At 39.4% G+C, this 21199-nt stretch overlaps 1 protein-coding gene across 2 annotated transcripts in view; it reads left to right on the top strand.

The window, feature by feature from the left end:
- MID1 (midline 1) overlaps positions 1 to 21199 on the top strand; it is a 388374-nt gene that overhangs the window by 143811 nt on the left and 223364 nt on the right. The window contains exon 1 of one of the 2 annotated variants that reach the window (NM_001098624.2): positions 12134 to 12408. The exons of the other annotated variant lie outside the window; for it this stretch is intronic. The gene's annotated coding sequence lies outside the window, so the exon portion shown is untranslated. Of the gene's footprint in view, positions 1 to 12133; positions 12409 to 21199 lie in introns of those variants that run through there. 2 annotated transcript variants of the gene reach the window in all.

Below are 21199 nucleotides of genomic sequence, written 5' to 3'. Positions count from 1 at the left end.
TTCTTTCCAGATATTGACAAAATGATCCTAAAGTTAGGCCAAAAGAATTGACATGAAAGCACAGCCAATAAAAGGGGAAAAAATGTGTAAGGAGAAGGAAATTGGCCCTACCACATGAAGAGGCACTATAAATCTACATTTGGAAGGGGAGAGGAAGAGGTAAAAAAAAAAAAAATCTACAACATTTGAAACACGGTGATATCACAAGACTAGAATACAAAGCCCAGAAAAAAAGACTAGACAGGCAGATAGAGATTTAGGTATAGATATGGATATATAGGTGTGGACATAAGTTTTGGTGTAGGTATAGATATAAATGTAGGTATAAATATACATAGATATAGATATTTATATGGTTTGGCTTTGTGTCCCCACCCAAATCTCATGTCAAATTGTAATCCCCACATGTCAGGGGAGGGAACTGATGGGAGGTGAGGTGGATCATGGGGCGGATTTCCCCTGTGCTGTTCTTGTGATAGTAAGTGAGTTTTTATGAGATCTGATGATTTTAAAGTGTGGCACTTCCCCCTTCACCCTCTCTCTTTCTCCTGCTCCAACATGTGATAAAGGTGCTTGCTTCCCCTTTGCCTTACACCATGATCGTTAAGTTTCCTGAGGCCTCTCCAGCCATGCAGAACTGTGAGTCAATTAAACCTCTTTTCTTTGTAAATTACCCAGTCTCAGGTTGTTCTTTATAGCAGTGTGAGAACGAACTAATACAGATACAGATAATTAACACATGTAAAGTCTGAACACCTCAGTGGTGTAACATAATCTAATCAGAATTCAGTGAAGTCATTAGGGAACTTTGTCCCATTCTGTCAAATGGGGCACACATTCCCTCCATCTAGTAGCTCTGTATCCTGCTAGATCCTCAAAATCCTCTGCTGGATACTCAACATCCATCCACCAAATAAGATAGAGAAATAAATACAGACTAGGCCAGCGGTTAACAAGCTTTTTCAGAAAAAAGCCAGAGGATAGGTATTTTTGTGACACAAAGAACAGTGTATGGCCTGATAAATTTTGCAGACCTCACATAGCTCAGACTGTTCTGAACTTTTTCTTTTCTCAATTCATATGTGCCAAGGTGGGAAAGAGACAGGGATTTGCTTAACATATGGCATTGTCTCTCCTATAATACAGTATATGAATTTAACATATACCATCAGATTACTCAACATATGGGTATGAAGAAAATTGGCTGTTTGAGAAAAAAAATTGAATCTCACCTCATGCCACAAACTAATTAAAGATGAATTCAATAATCAAGTGAAAAAAAGCAAAATTATTTTAAAAAGACAAAATTGATTTGTACATTTCTTTGTTCACTAAATATGGAAGGATGGTCTAGGTGTGAGTACCGTAGACAAAATAACAAAACAGTTGATGCTATATTTGTGAACATAATTTTCTGCCTTCTGAAAGATAAAAAGTAGTAAGAATGAAATTAAAAGGCAAGCAACAAAAAGGAGGAAAATATTTGTCAGAAAGAGGATAGAAGTAATATCCTTATATAAAGAGCTCAAACTAATAAGAAAAGTACCAAAATGCTGGTTACAAAAATGGGAAAAAATACTTTTGAATAGATAATTTAGAGAAAAGGAAATAAAAATATTTTATAACCTCATAAATTATCAAAGTGTATACATTTAAGAATGCAATGTGATTCTATCCTCTTTCTCCTAATAAAAGAGATTTTAAAAAAATGTTTAGCCAGCACGTGCCTCACACTTTGTAATCCCAGCTACGTAGGAGGCTGAGGTAGGAAGATCACTTAAGGCCAAAAGTTTGAGACCAGTCTAGGCAATATAGCAAGATCTCATCTCAAAAAGAAAAAAATATATTGGCATTGGCTGGGAGCAGTGGCTCATGCCTGTAATCCTAGCACTCTGGGGAAGCGACGGGAGGAGGATCACTTGAGTCCAGGAGTTCAAGACCAGCATGGGCAACATAAGGAGACCCCCATCTCTACAAAAAATAGAAAAAAAAGTAGGTAGGCATAGTGGCAAGCACCTGTGGTCTCAGCTACTCAGAAAGCTGAGGTGAGAGGATTGCTTGAGCCTGGGAGGTCAAGGCTGCAGCAAGCCATGATCACGTCACTGCACTCCAGACTGGGTGACAGAACAAGACCCTGTCTTTTTAAAAAATGTTTAATGTTGGCATAATTCAGTAAGAAAATCTCATGTCCTACTGATTAAAATAAAATATGTAAAACCCTCCTGTAAAGCTTTCGCAATAGGCACAAAGAACTTTAAAAATATTTTGACTCACCATTCTCACTTGGACTCAATCTGAAAGAAATAATCACAAATGCACATCTACTGTATATGCTAACATATCTAACATACTGTTCCAGACAGGACTACATTTGGCTGCCTGTAACAGAAACCCTACCATACTGAATTGAACAAAAGAAGGTGATGGGGGTATTTTTCTCGTGCAAGAAGCCAGGCATTTGGCAGTCCCAAGCCGATACAGTTGTTTGAGAAAATCACCCAGGTAGCTTCTTGCCCTGCCTTCTTTAGGCTGACTTTTGTCTTCATAGTCTCAAGTTCCAGGCAGGAAAAAGGGAGAAATTTAAGAGACAAAAGACTCATCCTTGGGAGGTTTTGTCTCTTTTATTGATAAAATTATCGTGTCTAGATAAAATTATCTAGAAATTTATGGCTCTATCTATTTGGCCCAACTATGTTACTTGGTCCTTCCTACCTCTGAAGGAGGTCAGGGCAGAGAATATGTAAAACACCGGAGCTGCAAATGAAATTTGGGTGTTCTGTTAGTCAAAATAAAGGTAACAGTGGATATTAGACGGGCAATTCCAAGGGTTGGGCAAACACAAAGATGCACTGCCAAGATCCCCTTCCAAGGAAGGACTTGCTATCTCACTCCTGGAATGGGGTCCACAGACACCTCCACCCATAAGGTCACAGCTCAGAGGCTGCACAATTATAGAGAGTCACTTCACCCAATGTCCCCTGCTTCCCAGAGCAGCCTGCATCTGATGCCTGAGAAAGACAGGGACATAAAGACACAACCATCTATATCCCACATGAGACAATTCTGATCTGCAACGCTTGTTCCAGAGCTCTCAGCCAGGTTGTCCAAGGATTTGTAGGGCCTGGATTGCAGTTTGGCTGCTTTGTCTGCCCAATCTTGCTTCTTCCCCCTTCTCTTTACTGATGTGGATCTCTAGTAAGTATCTTCACCCCAAATTCCACCTCAGCATGTGTTTCTGGAGACCTCAATCTGCAACAACAAAGTATTTTTTATAATAGTGTTGGGACTAAGGGAAAGCTTTACCCTTGCCCTGTGGAGGTTTGCTGAAAATTTCAGACAAGAGGCAGATTAATAGGAGAAAAGGCATACAATTTTATTTGATCATAGTTTTACATCTGTGGGGGCCATGTTGTGGGCATAAGAAAGGTAGTCAATGTATGTGGGAAGCTGCTGGTCTCAGTAAACCTGGAAGTGAGTCATCCATGTTGACCAACACTAGATCTATGCAGAAGATATTGGTGATGATGAAGCCTAGTCTCTTGGGCATATAAGAGATGAAGAAGGTGGAACCTAATCCATTGACCCCGAACCCCTTAGACACAGCCCCCTGCCCAGCCAGCACACCCGAGCCTTAAGGGTTGATGGTGACACCAAACCCCCTTCCCCAGAAGGATGGTCAGCACCACCATCAGCTCTCAAGATCACAGACTCTGAGCCATGGTGATGATAGTGACTCACATCCCAATGCCCCAGACCCACAGGATCAGAGTCTTCACATTAACCAGATTCCCAGATGGCTCACATTCTCATGAAACTGCAAGAGGCACAGACACATCCTTGTTAAACACAAACCTTCTCATCCACTGGTCCACTGGATAGAAACCTAATTTTGGATTTGTGTCTCTGCATCCCACCCTATTTCTTTCCATCTTGTACTACACAGGTAGGGGTGAGTGTGTGTGTGTGTGTGTGTGTGTGTGTGTGTGTGTGTGTGTATGAGTATGTGGGGTGTAGGGGCCGAGGGGTCCCCTGAAGTTTCACTGAAAAAATCAACTCACAAAAGACAGATTAATTGGAGAAAAGGCACACAAATGTATTTAATGTATACAAATAGGAGCCTTCAGAAGGAAGGCCCAAAGATACAGGGGAAATTATCCATTTTTATGCTTAGGTTCAACAAAGCACGGACAGCGTGTAGAAACAGGGTTGGACAAAAAGGGCCTGATCTAAAGCTAATGGACTGAGTGTGGAAACCCAGCAAGGCCTGTCTGTCTAGATTCTTCTTGGCCTCTCTGAGCAGCGTTCCTTCCTTCTGGGTGTAAGGCAAGACCCTCTCTGGAATGGGGGTGTTATGACCTACAGTCAAACAAGGTATGTCAGGGAATTTCGTTATGGCCAGTTTTTACACAGATAAGGTGGAGGGAAAGTTAGAGTGATATTTTTAGATTTTATGGCTGGCTTTGGGGAAAAGCAGTTTTGGTTTCTATGATCCACCTTGGGGAAGAAGGATTCTAGTTTCTATGGCTAGCCTCAAGGGAGAATGTGACTGAGAGACAGAAGGGAAGGAGAAGGTCAGAGAGAAACTTTTGCTTCTGAGGCCTTCATTTTGGGGTATTGTTTTCTGAGTCCCAACAATAGTAAATACACAGCAATAGAAAAAATTAATACTTTATAGTATAATGAACTATTATGGCCATTGAAATGGGAATTTACATGAAATTTTTAATGACATAAAATATTCATGACATGATATTTAGTTTTAAAAAGATAGAAGTTGTGGCATATGTATATAATAGAATACTATGTAGCAATAAACACTAAAGGAGTAATGATACATGTTACAACATGAAGTTCAAAAACACTTTATTTAGTAAAAGAAGGCAAACACAAAAGACTATGATTCCACTTATATGAAATGTCCAGAAAAACAGATCTATAGAGACAGGAAGGAGTTGCCTGGGGCTTGGGGTGGGAACAGGAATTAACCGTAAATAGGCATAAGAGGTCTTACTGGGTGTTAAAAACCTGAATTTTAATGATGGCTACATAACTTGTCAAATTTACTAAAAGTCATTTTAAATGGGTAAATTTTATAATATGCACATTTTACCTAATAAAGTTGTTACATATTCCAAAGTAATGACACTTAGAAAAAGACACAATTGGCCGGGCGCGGTGGCTCACGCCTGTAATCCCAGCACTTTGGGAGGCTGAGGTGGGCAGATCACGAGGTCAAGAGATCGAGACCATCCTGGTAAACATGGTGAAACCCCATCTCTACTAAAAAAAATACAAAAAAAAAAATAGCCGGCATGGTGGCACACGCCTGTAGTCCCAGCTGCTCAGGAGGCTGAGGCAGGAGAATCACTTAAACTTGGGAGGTGGAGGTTGCAGTGAGCGGAGATCACGCCACTGCACTCCAGCCTGGGTGACAGAGAGAGACTCCATTTCAAAAAAAAAAAAAGAAAAGAAAGAGAAAGAAAGAAAGAAAGAAAAGAAAAGAGAGAAAGAAAGAAAGAGAGAAAGCAAGCAAGCAAGCAAGCAAGCGGCACAATTTAAAAATATATACACCTCCACTATACACCCAACTAGTTGAATTTTATCTCTATCTGCCTGTATGTGTATCAAACTGTTAATAGTGACTGTCACTTCATTTTTTAGTTATGGGTGATTTTTATTCTTAGATAGATCTTTTAATATCCACATTTTCTACATTGAGCATTTATTCCTTAAAGCAGTTAACTTACAAACAAACAAACAAAAAGCCAAAACGAAACAAAATCTTTTTTAAAGGATGAAGTGCTGCCAGGCACGGTGGCTCATGCCTGTAATCCCAGCATTTTGGGAGGCCGAGGCAAGTGGATCACTTGAGGTCAGGAGTTTGAGACCAGCCTGTCCAACATGGTGAAACCCCGTCTCTACTAAAAATAGAAAAAGTAGCCAGATGTCGTGCACATGCCTGTAGTCCCAGCTACTCATGAGGCTGAGGCAGGAGAATTGCTCAAACCAGGGAGGCAGAGGTTGCAGTGAGCCAACGTCGTGCCACTGTACTCCAGCCTGAGAGCCTGCCTCAAAAAAAAAAAAAAAAAAAAAAAAAAAAAAGATGACGTGCAATTCCTTCTGTGCAGATCATCTCCTGCCCTTCCAGAATGGCTGGAACTTAGTCTTCAACTCCTACAAGCACATGTTAAATCACAGAGTACTTGCTTGTGTGTTTATGTCTCTGTGCGTGTAATATTTAATTGAATAATGAGAGAAGGTCCAAATCCAAAGAGGAGGACCAAAGACAGTAGCTTCCAGATTCATTCTTTTTCTTTTTCTTTTTTCTTTTTAATCAAGTTCTCACTGTGCTGCCCGGGCTAGAGTGCAGCAGCATGATCATACCTCACTGCAGCCTTGACCTCCTGAGCTCAAGCGATCCTCCCACCTCAGTCTCCCGAGTAGCTGCAACTACAGATGCATGCCACACTCAGCTAATTTTTAAACTTTTTTGTAGAGACAGGGCTCACTATATTGCCAGGCTGGTATCAAATTCCTGGCCTCAAGTGATCCTCCTGCTTTAGCCTCCCAAAGTGCTGGGATTACAGGTGTGAGCCACCATGCCAGGCCAGATGTTAATGATTCTGTCATTAAGAGTTGATAGAAACATTTGAAGTGAAACTTTTTATTTCTAGAGAATCAGGGCTGAGTTCATCCAAGCATTCTTTCAGAAGAGTGACCTTTCAAGGGTTGAAATAACAGCTCTCACGTAAAGTATGAGAGATTTCAGTTGAGATCAAGGAAGAGAAAATGACTACAATTGAGCACAGTATGCCAAAGTTGACTAAAAGCTGATTACTGTTAAACTGGTCTATAAGTTCAGTTAAAGCTATACTCTCCTTCTAGTTTCACACAAATGACTCTCATTATTTCAGGACTGTGTGTTTAATCAACTTCCACCCAATGCCCCAGATTTGACCCTTTGCCTGTGGATTGCTCTCTTACCAGAGAGGTAATCTGACATTCAAATTTGTCCATATATAACTTCTAGAAGCTGGTTTAAAAGCACTTTCAAAGTATTGTTATACGAGAAGTTAGCAATTTGACTTCCAAAAATAAGTTGTATTTTAATATATTTTTTAAAATATTAATGATCAGGGAAAAGGTAGTGAGAGTACAGCATAGAACATTACATGAACACCATGCTTTTTCTTTTCTGATATCCTTGTCTCCATTGAACTATATCCTGCTAATTCACTGATTTAAATGTGAGTTTATTTATTATTCTCACTGAGGTATGACTAATTTGGAGTCAAATTATATTTATTTTAACGAGCTATCTTTTTTAAAATGCATTTTATGTTGCTGGTGCTCTTGTGTTACACAAATGAAAAATAAAATTTTTATTTTTACATCCGTTAAATACTTTGCAGCAATTAAATGCTTACAGATAGCTGAACAATAAATTCTTCCCACAAGCAGAAAAAAGAAAAAGTGCTTTGCCAGGGAGCATAATAATTAGGTTTCAATTATCTACAAAGAAAAAAAAAAGATAAAAAGAAAGGAAAAGAAAAGAAATTAGGTCAAACTTTCTGACAATCAACTCAGGTTATTGTCCTCTGAGGTTCATTTTGAAATACAGTTTAATTTTCTATGCACATTTATTATAAGAATATTATAAGCTCACAATCTTAGAAAAGTTAAATTGCAATCCCATCACAGAAATATAACCAATATTAACATTTTTTTTTATTGAGATGGGGTCTCACTATGTTGCTTAGGCTGGTTTTGAACTCCTGGGCTCAAGCGATCCTCCCATTTCCACCTCCCAAAGTGCTAGGATTACAGGCATGAGCCACCGTGCCCAACTCATATTAACATTTTGATGTAGCTTCTCACAGAATGTTTTCACTATAGGCACAAACAAAAGATATTATTTGTTTTTACACAAAGGTTTATTCAACAAATGTTTATTGAGTGTCTATTAAGTGCCAGTGTTATTTCTACTGAATGACACCATAGCTACACTGCCAACTCAGCATTCACTATCATTTGAATGTCCTTTCGTGTGAATAAATTTGGATGTGCTATATCATTTTAATGACTGTATAATTACAAGTGATTGTACTCTCCAAAATGACAACAGCAACCTTTCCATTCGCCCCCGCATACTTTCTGAACCTCACCATGCCCCACCAAGAGGTAGAATATATGGCCCCTTACCTTGAACATGGGTGAAGTTTTATGACTGCCTCAGTCCAGCAGAAGTAACACCATGTGATTTCCAAGAGAGATTGTAAAAGGTGATATGACTTCTGCCTAGCCTCCTCTTAGAACATTCACCCTTGGAACCCAGACAGCATGTTGTGAGGGAGCCCAAGCCACATGGAGAAACTGTATATATATGTTCCAGCTGACAGCTCCCACTGAGGTCTCAGGCAACAACCAGCATCAACTGTCAGCCACGCAATGAGCGAGTCTCCAGATGACTGCAGCCTCTAGACTTCGAGCCACAGCAGCTGGTGCCAAATAGGGCAGAGGTGGCTGTACCCACTGAGCCCTTCCAAAAATCACAGACTTGTGAGCAAAATACACATGGCTTGCTTTAAGCCACTAAGTGTCCAGGTGGTTTGTTATGCAGCAGTAGATAAAAGGACTAGCGATAGGCCTTTGAATGACCATACCACAATTTTTGTAACCAATTCCTTAATTTTAGACATTTTTATTGTCACAAAGTGTTTTGATGTTGCTGTTGTTGTTGCCTTTAATACAAACATCACATATATATACGTCTGTGAACACAATAGTGTGTGTAGCATTATTATTATTATTATTATTATTATTATTATTATTATTATTATTATTATTGAGACAGGGTCTGGCTCTGTCACCTAGGCTGAAGTGCAGTGGCACAATCTCAGCTCACTGCAACCTCCACCTCCTGGACTCAAGCCATCCTCCCACCTCAGCCTGCTGAATACAGGCCGCGCCACCACACCCAGTGCATTTTTTTATTTTTATTTTTGGTAGTGACGGGGTTTCACCATGTTGCCTAGGCTGATCTTGAACTCCTGAGCTCAATCGGCTCACCTTAGCCTCTCAAAGTGCTAGGATTGTAGGCGTGAGCCACCGTGCCCAGCCACCTTATTTCCTCAATATTATTTCCCAGAAGTAGAAGTGCAGGCCAAAGGATATGAATATTTTAAGGAACTTTGATGTGAGCTTTTGGCAGTTCAATTTAACGTAGTTTAGTAGTTCACAAATATGTATGACCTAAAAATAGTTAAACCTAAAATGCTATGGCAAAATCAATCACTACAAATTCCATGACTGAAAAGGAAAGATCACTGAGTATAGAAAAAACAAAAAACAAAAAACCCCACAAAACTGGTAATTCTATCATAAAGAAGTTCTGGCTTTTAACTTAAAGATAATACATTCAAACATTTAAATTTTTTAAAGTGATTATGCAAACACGAATTTTGAGGGTGAAAGTCTTACTGAAGTCTGCTTCCATATTTGTCAAATATAATCCCCAGATGGTTCCCAAATACCCTTGGTCACTAATATACCCCTCTTCATGGTAAGATAACTTTATCTGATGAATTTTAACTTCAAGAACGTAAAGATACGTATCTTCAAGCCTAGAAATTTTTCTTGAGCTCTCTGAAGGCTAAATAATTCTACTGCAGTCTGAAGACCTTGCCCTGAGTAGGGTTTTACACTCTGAATCAGTGTTGTCAGATGAGCAGATACAATGGCTTAACTGGTTGTGGAGAATAGGAAGAGCTGAGTTACCATGTGACCATAGCTGATACAATTGTTGCTTTAAAATGTAGATGCAAGTTTTAAGGTAATGCTTTTGCATTAAGTGCTGCAAAGTTTTTAAGTGCCATGGCTATTCTAATTCTTTACTAATTACGTGTGTGTATTACCTGTCACCTTCTCATAAAGAATAGTAATAATAATATCTGAGGTTTGTATAGTAGTTCACAAGGTGCTTTCACATTTGTTTTCATTGTTTCATTTAATCTTCATAACAAAACCAAGGGGTCAGCATTACCTTCATCACTTTGTAGGTGAAGAAAGCAAGTCGAAGAAAGCTAAGTAACGAGGCAGAGACAGCCAGGACTCAACTTAAGATCTTTTAAAGTAGAAACCACGGAAGTCTATCCCATCCTCTTCAGTTTGTCTCTTGACTTATGCTAAAACTCATTACACAGCAATAGGGGTCAACAAACTTTTTGTGGAAAGGGCCAGAGAGTAAACATTTTCAGCTCTGTGGACCAAGCAGTTCAATACTGCAACTACTCAACAGTGCCATTGTTGCACAAACACAGCCATGGACAATACTCAAATGAACGGACATGGCTGTGTACTAATACACCTTTATTTATACCAACAGGCAAAGGATCGATTTGGCCCTCAGACCATAGTTTGCCCACTCCTGACATAAGAGGATGAGTAAACCTACAGGAATCTCACGTCTGTTTCTGCCCTTTTAACCACAATCCTTCCCTTCCCCTATAAGAAACTATCTTTATTAGATTCTTATTGATCCTTCGAGAGTTCCTGTTTTTGCAAATACAAGCCTATGCATATATAGACTTCATCCTCCCACTGCACCTCTCTTATTTCCCTCAGCCCCATGCCCTCTTCAGCACTTTGTTTTCATTGCCTGGGCATCTGTCTATATTAGTACATAGAGATCTGATATTCCATTTTGCCATTGCATAGTACTTCACTATATAGATATGCCACAGATTAGTCAATCTACTGCTGCCCATTTGTGTGGGTTCCTTGTATTGCTTGAAAATATGACATTTCTTGCTTTCTCTGGTGATTGTGTAGAATAGGTGCCTAGAAGTGGGATTGCTGGGAGGAAGGGTCCATGCATCTATAAATTTGTTAGATTGCCAAATCTCTCCCCCAACCCCAGATTGGTGGTGGTATATTATACTCCCAGCAGCAACCTATAAAAGTGCCCATTTCCCCAGAGCCTCATCAATGGTGTATGAGCCAAACCTTTGAATTTAGTCCACTCTGACAGGCAATAAATTATACTTCGGTGTAGTTTTAATTTACATTGATTTTATTGCAAGTGAGAAAGAACACCTTTCCATGCATTTAAAGACTAATTATATGTCTCCTTTTGTTTCATAACCTTTGCCCGTTTTTCTTTTGGGTGGTAGGTTTTTTTCTCTTTTCCAAGTTTAGGCATTCATTAAACATGAAGGAGATGGGCCCTCTGTCCCAGTTCATTATTTCTTTTGACTTGACATATGCTGTTTTATTTTGCCATGGAAAAGGTTTTTAAAATGTTTATGTAGATACATTTATTGATCATAGAGATATATAGGTGTAGCTATAGATACAGACATAAATATCTTCTAGATTTTTTACTCTCTTTGTACTGGACATCTGAGATGAATGTAGGTGAAAAGGATAGAGGTGATGGTGAGAGTCAGAAAGATATTAGAGCTTTTACTCACAAGTAAGTTTGTATCCAAAATTCAAATGGATTATCCAGGTATTATTTTAAATGTTAAGACCGGTGGCAGGTACTGGTACAGAGAACAACTGAGAATAGAGCAAAATGGCCAAGGAAAAGGAGGGAAAGGAAACTATTTTATATCAAGAAAATTATGATGCTAAATGAGTTCTAGTAAGGCTGAAACACATGATATAGACACTTTAAGTATTTTTGTAGTTGCTTACATATAATTTTATGGCAAAATGTCTTAAATTGCGTATAACAAAGATATTAGTATCATTGAGCTAGTGTTCAGTAGTGCTCCTTTTGAAGGTTATTATTCTGCTATCATGTTACAAACTTTTTAGAATATTGAGTTCTGTGCTTTTGTTTGGTTTTGTCTGAATTCTCTGCCTAGTATGTTCATCTCATCCTACTCCCATTACTCCAGCAAAGGGGAATCAGAAAACTGAGGTTAAGAAAGATAGCTAAGTTATAGCATTTGCTATGCACCTCAGACTCATTTTTGCTATTGAGATGGCATTGTCACCAAGCAGAGGCAATTTTTTTTTCTGGAGAGGAGAGGCAGGACAGGGGCCTGGGGTGGGGGGTGCGGCCAGAACTGTGATGTCACAGATTGCATTGTCTCTTGGGAAACTCATCCATCAAACCGTCACCTCTGATTCTATGCAGGGTCACTATGAAAGAGGCAGCCTGCCCCAGTTTGGGTATTCTGAAGTGTTAGTATGTAGTGGAGCTGGTGGTGTGAAGCTGATTCATTTTGTTTCAAAGCCCCAAATGGCATGCTGCCGAACACAGGCACAAGCACAGCAGCGTCTCCTTAGAAATAATGACTCCAAGGCAAACAGCCCTCATTGCAAAATGTAGAAGACTGCCATCTGCTTGTCTCCACTGTGGTTTATTCGTTTCAGGGTTTTAAATGACGTAATAAAAAGGTAAGTCTTCTTTTTAAAAACTGGAGGGGTAAGTGGGAATTCCAGATTGATTATAGCATATCTGGAATATATGTAAGATATTTGCCTTAAGTTAGAAGAGGATTTGAATTTATAAAGTGTGAATATTATTTTCAAATGCAAGTGCAAATCCTGTCCTGGGAAGATAAGGTAAAATCCATATCTTAAAGAAGGTCATGCCTTACAACTTAGCAATTTTATTTGGTATTTTAGAAACATGATTTTTAAAAAAATGAATTTTCATAAAGACAGTAATTTTCCAGATGTTTGATAGTACATATCGATCACTTTTTCATATATGATATTCCACCTTTTCTTGATGTTTGCAATCTGTTTTCAGCTTTTGGATAAGTTAAAAACAAGCAGCTGCTATAAATTGTCAAGGGCTCTTAAAATGAGGTGCCAGATAGATTTGGGAAGCGTCTAGCTGATTTCTACATAACTCGTTTGGAATTACTCTGTTATGGGAGGGAGTATAAAGGGTCATAAGACTCAGATGAAGTTTGAAGCTGAGGTGTCCCCTCTCCCATCCCTGAGGGATAGTGACCAGGGTTTGGAGATATAGGAAGAAGCAAATGCACACCTCCGTGCCTCGCCATGACCTATCGTATTCCAGTCGATGAGGAGTCCAGAGGGCTGGGATCCATGACTCCCTGAGGATTCGCCTGGCAGGAATGAATGCCAGCAAACACCCCCCTTCCACCCCTCCCCTCCTAGCTCCCCAGGAGAGGCGCTTCTGCAGAAGTCATTTGGTGTGTGTGCTGGTTTTCCTTGTGAGAGGATTAGAGAATAGGAGAGTGCTTTGTGAGAAAAATCCTGGGAGAGGTTGCTGGGAAGAAATCAAACAGAGGGAAGGAAGACTTCAGCTTTCAGAGTCCCCTCAGTCAAGTAAGTCTGAGACCCAGTTGCCTGGCCTAGAGCAGCTGAGGGGTTGTTTCCTTTCGTCCACACTAGGAGAAACTGGTAAGGCTCATTTTATTCTCTACTGCTCTGGGATGCTACTGTAATTGCTTTACTGAAGCGCAGGGGTCAGAAGGGAGGGAAGTTGGTTAGTGACTCTGCGGACGTCCTGCATCGTCTCTGTCTGGTGTATGAGGACGGCGCTGTTTCTGGTACAAAGGGCTGGTAGCCACAGAACAATTTTACTTTTCCCAAACTTGATTAGCATCACTTCTGAGCAACTGACTTAAGCAAAACGCATGCCCACGCAAAAACTATACCCCATAGAGGAATGCACTTATCTATCAGATACTCGGATCTTTAAAGCATTTCTATCTCAATTTGATTAGTTTGGGGGGTACAACTTCAGGAGAGTGAGAGAAAAACCCGGTCCTTCTGGAAATTTTTCAATTGTCTGTTTCCTGTGAGAATGTATTTTTGCCATTGTATGTATCACCTGTTTTGTAACAAGAGCCGTTCAGATCCAAGCCACTGTTAAAAATCCAAGTAGTACCTAGCGCAAGTTCAAGACACTGTGAAAGGAGGGGAGAGTGTTCACACTCAAGTGAGGAAAATGGAACTTGAAGAACTTTATATTCTTTGTCTGTATGCAGAGGAGTTCTAATTGGAAAGAAGAAATGAGGAAGCTGCCCTAGAGTCAGAAAGAATAGGTACACGTTTCCTTCAACATTTTCAAAGAATCAGCTCATGCACACAGCCTTCTTGGGCAAATGTTGCTTCTTACTCCCTAATTCCATTCTGTTATTTCTAGAGCTGACTTTCATATTTGTGTGAAGATATATATAGAATACATTATTTATATTACTTATATATTTAAAATGTATATGTATACACACACATATAAATATATCCTTTTATCATATCCTGGCAAACTTGAGCCTGAAGAGTTTAGAAATATATTGATTCAGTCTGAAGCAAATTATCCCTTAAGCAAGCTACAAAAGTCCTTCTGAGAGGCGTGTTTGGAGTTGGGGGCTGTGTGAAGAAGAGAGAAGTGGCAGACAGCTGTTGTTTCTGTGATGGACAAGTCCAGAAGCCTTTCCTCATAGCTGAGAACCAAATTCCTAAAAACTCTGCGCACCCTCCCCCATCCCCAAGACAGGGTGGTAATCTTTGTTGTTGTTTTTGCCCTGAGAAAATTTGAGTGCTGCCTAATTTAGGGGGCTCTCTGCATTTTTTCCTCCTCATTAAAATAAAACTAGAAGCATTGCTAAATGCAAAGTTCTGATGATGGATGTTTTGTTTCTAAACTTAACATATGCCAATACACTTATTATCATTTCAGTTGAATCTGCCCATCATGAAAACACTGATCAAGTAAAATGATTCAACACAAATTATTCAAGTCTGCAACTGTTACTTCAGTTTACTTAATTCTACAGTCTTAAGATGATGTGCTTATTAGAATATTCAAAAATTGAAAATGCATGCCATTTATTTCATTAATAACAACCAGGTTATTTAAACTATAGGTTATAAAATATAGGTTTCAACTACAGGTTATAAACTATTTAAATACAGTTTCTTTGCATGCACATTGATATGAAAACCTGAAAAAATATATGCTTTTTCTTTTAAAATGAAATAATTATTTGCCTGAGATATCCTTTGCCAAAAAATGAAAGTCAATTCCCTTTCAATTTCAGTTTTTTATTCTTTTCTCAACTGAAAATGCTAATTCAACCAAACGATGTTATCTTTGCCTTTAGGAATTGTTTACGGAATGCTGGCAGTCAATTTGGGAGTCCTGAGTGTGAGATAACAGTTAATCAATTTATCTGTGAACTGTGAAGTTTTCAGGTTTTGATCAACATTATTCACTATTCTCCACCCCATGCTCATTCTGGTTATAAAGACTATTTACCTTCATTATTATATTTGAACCTGAGAGCGTCAAGTTTATTAGAATTGATTTTCTTTCCAGGTTGATCTTCTGAAATACTTTGGCCATTTTTCACTACTGCCTTATGAGGTTATCATTAATCTGGCATATATTTATTGAGTGCTTGGGTGTCACTCATATGGCACACGTTTGCTGTTAGAGATGAAAGCTATGTTTTGTGGAGTTTATTGCAGAGGCGACCAAGGCTAGAAGGGAAAGACCAACTCGTGCTGTTCTAACAATTGTTTGCCAGCTCCCGTGGTTCAGTTGCGAATGTGGTTTCAGCAACAACGAAAAACTCTTAATTCTTCTGAATTATTGATACATTAAAATATGTTACTGGCTACTTGGAACCTGTGAGCTGAGTTAATCAATAACCCTCTCACATTGCACAAGACCCACTGTGTGTTATTCTCATCACTGGCCATTTAAATAATTCAAAAGAAAGGTTTCTCGTGAATTAACCTTGCCATTGCACAAATTGGGAAAATACAGAACAAAACATTCCAGCATCCTTAATCTTTAGAGCTTATAAATTACTGTTCCTTCTCATTTTTTTCTTGATGTATTAGTTTTTTCTGTTAGATGACTTTTGTTAAATGTTTTGATATATCATAATAATACACATAATTTGCAATAATGTCAGTAAGAAAAAAGAATCATGGGAAAGAAATGAACATGTCTTGAATCCACCATATACCAGACACTGCCCTGGCCCCTTTACAAGCATGTTATCATTTACTCTTCTCAACAATACTGCAAAATAGGTATTATTGGGCCCATTTTAAAGATGATGGAATGAAGGACCAGAGAATTTAAGAATAAATTCATGCCACACTACTAAGGTAGCAAACCCAAATCTGTTCCCTGCTCCACAAAAGCACTTTTTAGCACACTTCTATATTGCTCTCTTACCAGCCATGTCTTTCTTCCCAGATCTCGTATCAATTGAGAACTCACTATAGCTTACCTTAATGCTTCCAGAGAATCTCCCTTGACAGCTTCTGCCTGTTCCCTATCTTCCTTTATGATCAGAGAGCCAACACATGTAACTATGGATTGGACAGGCACCATATGTATTTACGTGTAAAAATGGCTTTTGAAACATCAAGGTAGAAACATCATATTAGGTTAAAATACAGAATACAGTATTTTAGATTTGCTCAGTTAAGAGAAATTACAGACTTGGTTTAGTTTGGTTTCTGGCCATGCCTGCCCTGGTTTCCACCAGCTATCCAGTAGGGAGCCCCGGTCTGCATGTACGCTGTGACATATTTGTTTGTATAGAGATCTGCTTGTATAAAGATCTAGGTTTCTATACCGACACAGCCTCACTTTCTGCCCCCAGCAGGTGAGCAGAAGACAGGATGGAGTTGTAGAAAAATGCATCCCTTACCCCCATCTGAAGTTACTGGTTGAGGGAAAGAAAATCATAACACATCATTAATAAAAAGAATTCTAAATATATCAGTGCATTAGTCTGGTACTCTCATAGTATAGTCATTCATTTACCGCAACACAATTATTTAGTCAGCACTATCTATCCAATTGCCTTGTGTACTAGTTTCCGATGGCTGCTGTAATAAATTACCACAAATTATTAAAAATTTAAACAACACGGCCAGGCGCAGTGGCTCATACTTGTAATCCCAGCACATTGGGAGGCTGAGGCAGGAAGATCACTTGAGCCTAGGAGTTCAAGACCAGCTTGGGAAGCATAGAGAAACCCCTCCTCTGCAAAAAAAATAAAAAGTTAACTGGGTGTGGTAGCACATGCCTGTGGTCCCAACTACTTGGGAGGCTAAGGAGGGAGGATCCTTTGAGGCCAGGAGTTTGAGGCTGCAATGAGCTATAATCATGCCACTGCACTCCAGCCTGCCCATCTCAAAAAAAAATTAAACAACACAAATTTATTTTATTACATTCCTGGAGGTCTGAAGCACAAAATGGATCTAAAATCAAGGTATCAGCAGGCCTGCATTCCTTCTGAAGGCTCTAGACAAGAATCTGTTCCCTGCTTTTCCAACTTCAAGAGGCTTCTGGCACTCCTTGGCTCATGGCGCTGCATGTTTCTGACTCTGCTTCATTCGTCACATTGCCTTCTCTGACTCTTCTGCCTCCCTCTTTCCACTATAAGGACCTGTGCAATTACACTGGGGCCACCAGGTGACCCCATGGAAATCTTCCCATCTTGCATCCTTAGATCTAACCATATTGAAGGATGTCGAAGGATGTGGTTAAACATCCTTAGCCACATCTGCAAGGTCCCTTTTGCCATGTAACATAACACATACAAAAGTTTGGGAGATTAGAACGTGGACAACTTTGGTGGGGAGCATTGTTCTGACTACCACATCTTCTTTCAATTTTTTTTTTTTTTGAGACAGGATCTCGCTCTGTCACCCAGATTGGAGTGCAGTGGTGCAAACATGGCTCACTGCAGCCTCAACTTCCTGTGGTCAAGTGATCCTCCCACCTCAGCCTCCTGAGTAGCTGGGACTATAGGCATGCACCACCACGCTCAGCTAATTTTTGTATTTTTTGCAGACATGGGGTTTCACCATGTTGCCTAGGCTGGTCTGGAACTCCTGGGCTCAAGCGGTCCACCTGCCACAGCCTCCCAAAGTGCTAGGGTTATAGGTGTGAGCCACCATGCCCAGACACAAATTTCTTTATATTAACTTGATATGTATTTATTCCATGATCTTGTAGGCAGTAGGGAGCCATGGAAATATTTCAAGTGGAGAGGTGAAATGAAAATGATCAGGTTTCCATGTTAGAAAGCTCACTGAGAGAGCCCTATGGAGATGGAGGCCCAACTAGGCTGCCTGTTGGAATGCAGGAGAGAGAGGTCGAGAACATGACTTCTGAGAGAATCTGTAGAGAAAAGGACAAGAAGTTTGAGAAATACTAAGGACAGTGCATTGGCAGGACAGCTGAGAGGAAGAGGTTTGTGACTTGGATATCTCAGGTAGATGATGGGGAGGTAGAGAGGATGGGGGACTCTGAGAAGATGTGTGTATGCTGCACTAGGACCTGGGGATAGAACACCGGCCAGAAACACCTTTTCTCCTAAGAAGCTAAAAGCCCATCTGTGAAGACACCAGTAATAATAATAGGAATAACTCATATTCACTGAGTACTTTAGCTTCTTCCAAGCACACTACATTTAATTTTCATATCAACCCTCTTTGGTAGACACTAGTAACATTATCATCTCAGTTTTCTGATGAAGAAACTGAAGCAAGGAGACCTTACGTGATTTGCCCAACATCATGCAATTTGTAAGGAGAGAGAAGGCAGTTGAAGTCAAGTAGTCTGGTTCCAGAATCCATGGTTTTAATTCTTACACTCTACTGCCTTGCTTAACAAACAATTATAATTTTGTGAGATATTTAGTATGAGAGCTACCTGTACATTTAATGGGGGCGGGAGCAAACCACAGGGTTAGCAATTACTGCTATCAAGATGAACTGTGAATTTTTCTGAGGCACATTCCTGTAGAAGCCTGGCTATCAGTAGGGTGTGATCCATGACAAAATAAAACATTTATATGGAGCATTAGCCTGGAAGCCTGGACATCAGGGCAAAATTGGAGAAAGTTCTTATTTCCCTGCTGTCTAAGAATTTATAACCACACTGAGAAAACCATATTGCAATCATAAAAAATAGATGACCAAAAATTAAATGGTTCCAAGGCCCTCTGGATAAATATGAAGTGAGAGCATAGTTCTTTTCTAAAAGAGAGTGGGAAAGAACAAGGCAATAAGAAGGTCAAGATGATGGGATGCAGAGCCATTGTGTACATTCATTGAATGACTTAATGTGTTATGCACTTGCATTCTCCCATTTCCAACAACACTATAAAATAATGGCAGGGTGAAATTTGAATCCCAAGGTCTCTCACTCTGCTATGTGTGTGTTTAAAGAATGTTGGGACAGAGCTCCCTTTGAATAAAATTTTTAAATGCCTTAGGAATCCTAAAATGATGCTTACATTTTGTAAGATCTTGATACCTTGACGTAGTTGTTCTTCATTATCATTATCATTGACTAGTTGTTGGGTGGAGCTGCCCTGGGCGTGTGAAGATTTCAGTATCACTCAATATAGGTGGGTCTTTAAAAGAAAATCATGCCAAGAAAGATAGATGTAAACTTATTTTTTTTTACATTCTCTTTTATTTTCTTTAATATTCTGTATCTTTGTAGAAGCTATAATATGGAATTATAGACTATTTACTTATGGGCTTTAAAAAGCACTGTGGTAATCATTAGGTAATAAATTTCTTACCAAGAGATATTACTGAAAGGAATGTGGTTTTTATTCTTTTATAGCCAGATCACCAGGAAGATATGAGACCTTGCCATTTAAGTTTGCTTTTTAATTTGTGTAACAGAAAGATTCACATTTAACCTTTTCTACTAGACATGTATTTAACAAACAATTATTTGGTATCTACTATGTGAAAGGGACACATTTTATTCCATTTGTTCCTTGCAATTCTTGTTCGGAAAGACCCTCTTTACAGTGGAAGAAGGAGAATCTCAGAGAATGGCCCAGCTAGACTTGAACTCCTGTCTTCTGTCTCAGCCCAGAAGACTTGCTCCCATGTCCTTTAACCTACTTAGCTAAGACAGATATTCAAAGCCACTGAGGAAGGACTCCATATTTCTTCATTTGGAACAGCAAACTAGGAGAGTTTGGTTATATCCCCATGACCAATGGTAGGTATATCTTGGGGCAATTATCTCTATGCTAAAATCAATATTGCTATTTATCAAGATAATCTACAGCTTGCCTTAAAGATAGAGAGGGGATTTCAAAGTCTATTTGTTGAAAAGATTACTCTCTGGAATTGTAGAATTTGCTTCAAAGTGAGATTTGCAAAAAATATGAGATTTATACCATAGCTGTCTACCCAATCCCTGAAAGATTTCCATTCAAGGTGACATCTGTTCAGGCTTACACACTGCTTACCTATGTGTTGGTGAAACACTTTCTGTGAACCTTCTAAATGTTCTCACAGCACTCTGACTTCACCCAATACTCATGACAAGAAGAGGACAAAGCTAGAATTATTATACCAGAGTATCTGACCCTGGGTTCAATGCTGAGAGTGGGTCACAATTAGTTTTAATAGAAAATAACATATAATTACTGACAGGTGCCTTGGGGCATGGGAAAATAGCATTTAAAATAATGTTTTTAGTGATACATTGCCTACAGGATGACATCATGCAAGCTTAATGGCAATGCTTGAAGGTGAGAACTGACTATGATGTTGAAAGGGAAAGTTTGTTCAGATTTATTCATCCACCATCAGGGAATCAAACGTGTCCTAGATTTCTTTTTTTTTTTTTTTTTTTTTTTTTTATTTTGAGACGGAGTCTCACTCTGTCGCCCAGGCCGGACTGCGGACTGCAGTGGTGCAATCTCGGCTCACTGCAAGCTCCGCTTCCCGGGTTCACGCCATTCTCCTGCCTCAGCCTCCCGAGTAGCTGGGACTACAGGCGCCCGCCACCGCGCCCGGCTAATTTTTTGTATTTTTAGTAGAGACGGGGTTTCACCTTGTTAGCCAGGATGGTCTCGATCTCCTGACCTCATGATCCACCCGCCTCGGCCTCCCAAAGTGCTGGGATTATAGGCGTGAGCCACCGCGCCCGGCCGTGTCCTAGATTTCTAAGACTAACGAAACAAGAAACTAAAATCTACTATTGAAACCTAAATAAATACAGTTATCAATGTGCTGATAAGATCTGCAAAGACTAATAGCATAAGCCCTTAATGAAAAATTATTTTATTCAATGACTTACCAATACAAAGGTTAGATATCCTTACATCAAAGTAATACTGTATTATTCTTCCCTATAGTTCTGTACCACAAGGAAAAATTAGTGCTTTATTTTTGCTAATTCACAAATTTGTTAAAG

Source organism: Homo sapiens, chromosome X (assembly GCF_000001405.40).
Source record: "Homo sapiens chromosome X, GRCh38.p14 Primary Assembly".
Lineage (NCBI taxonomy): Eukaryota > Metazoa > Chordata > Mammalia > Primates > Hominidae > Homo > Homo sapiens.
This window is presented reverse-complemented; position numbering and strand designations above follow the sequence as displayed.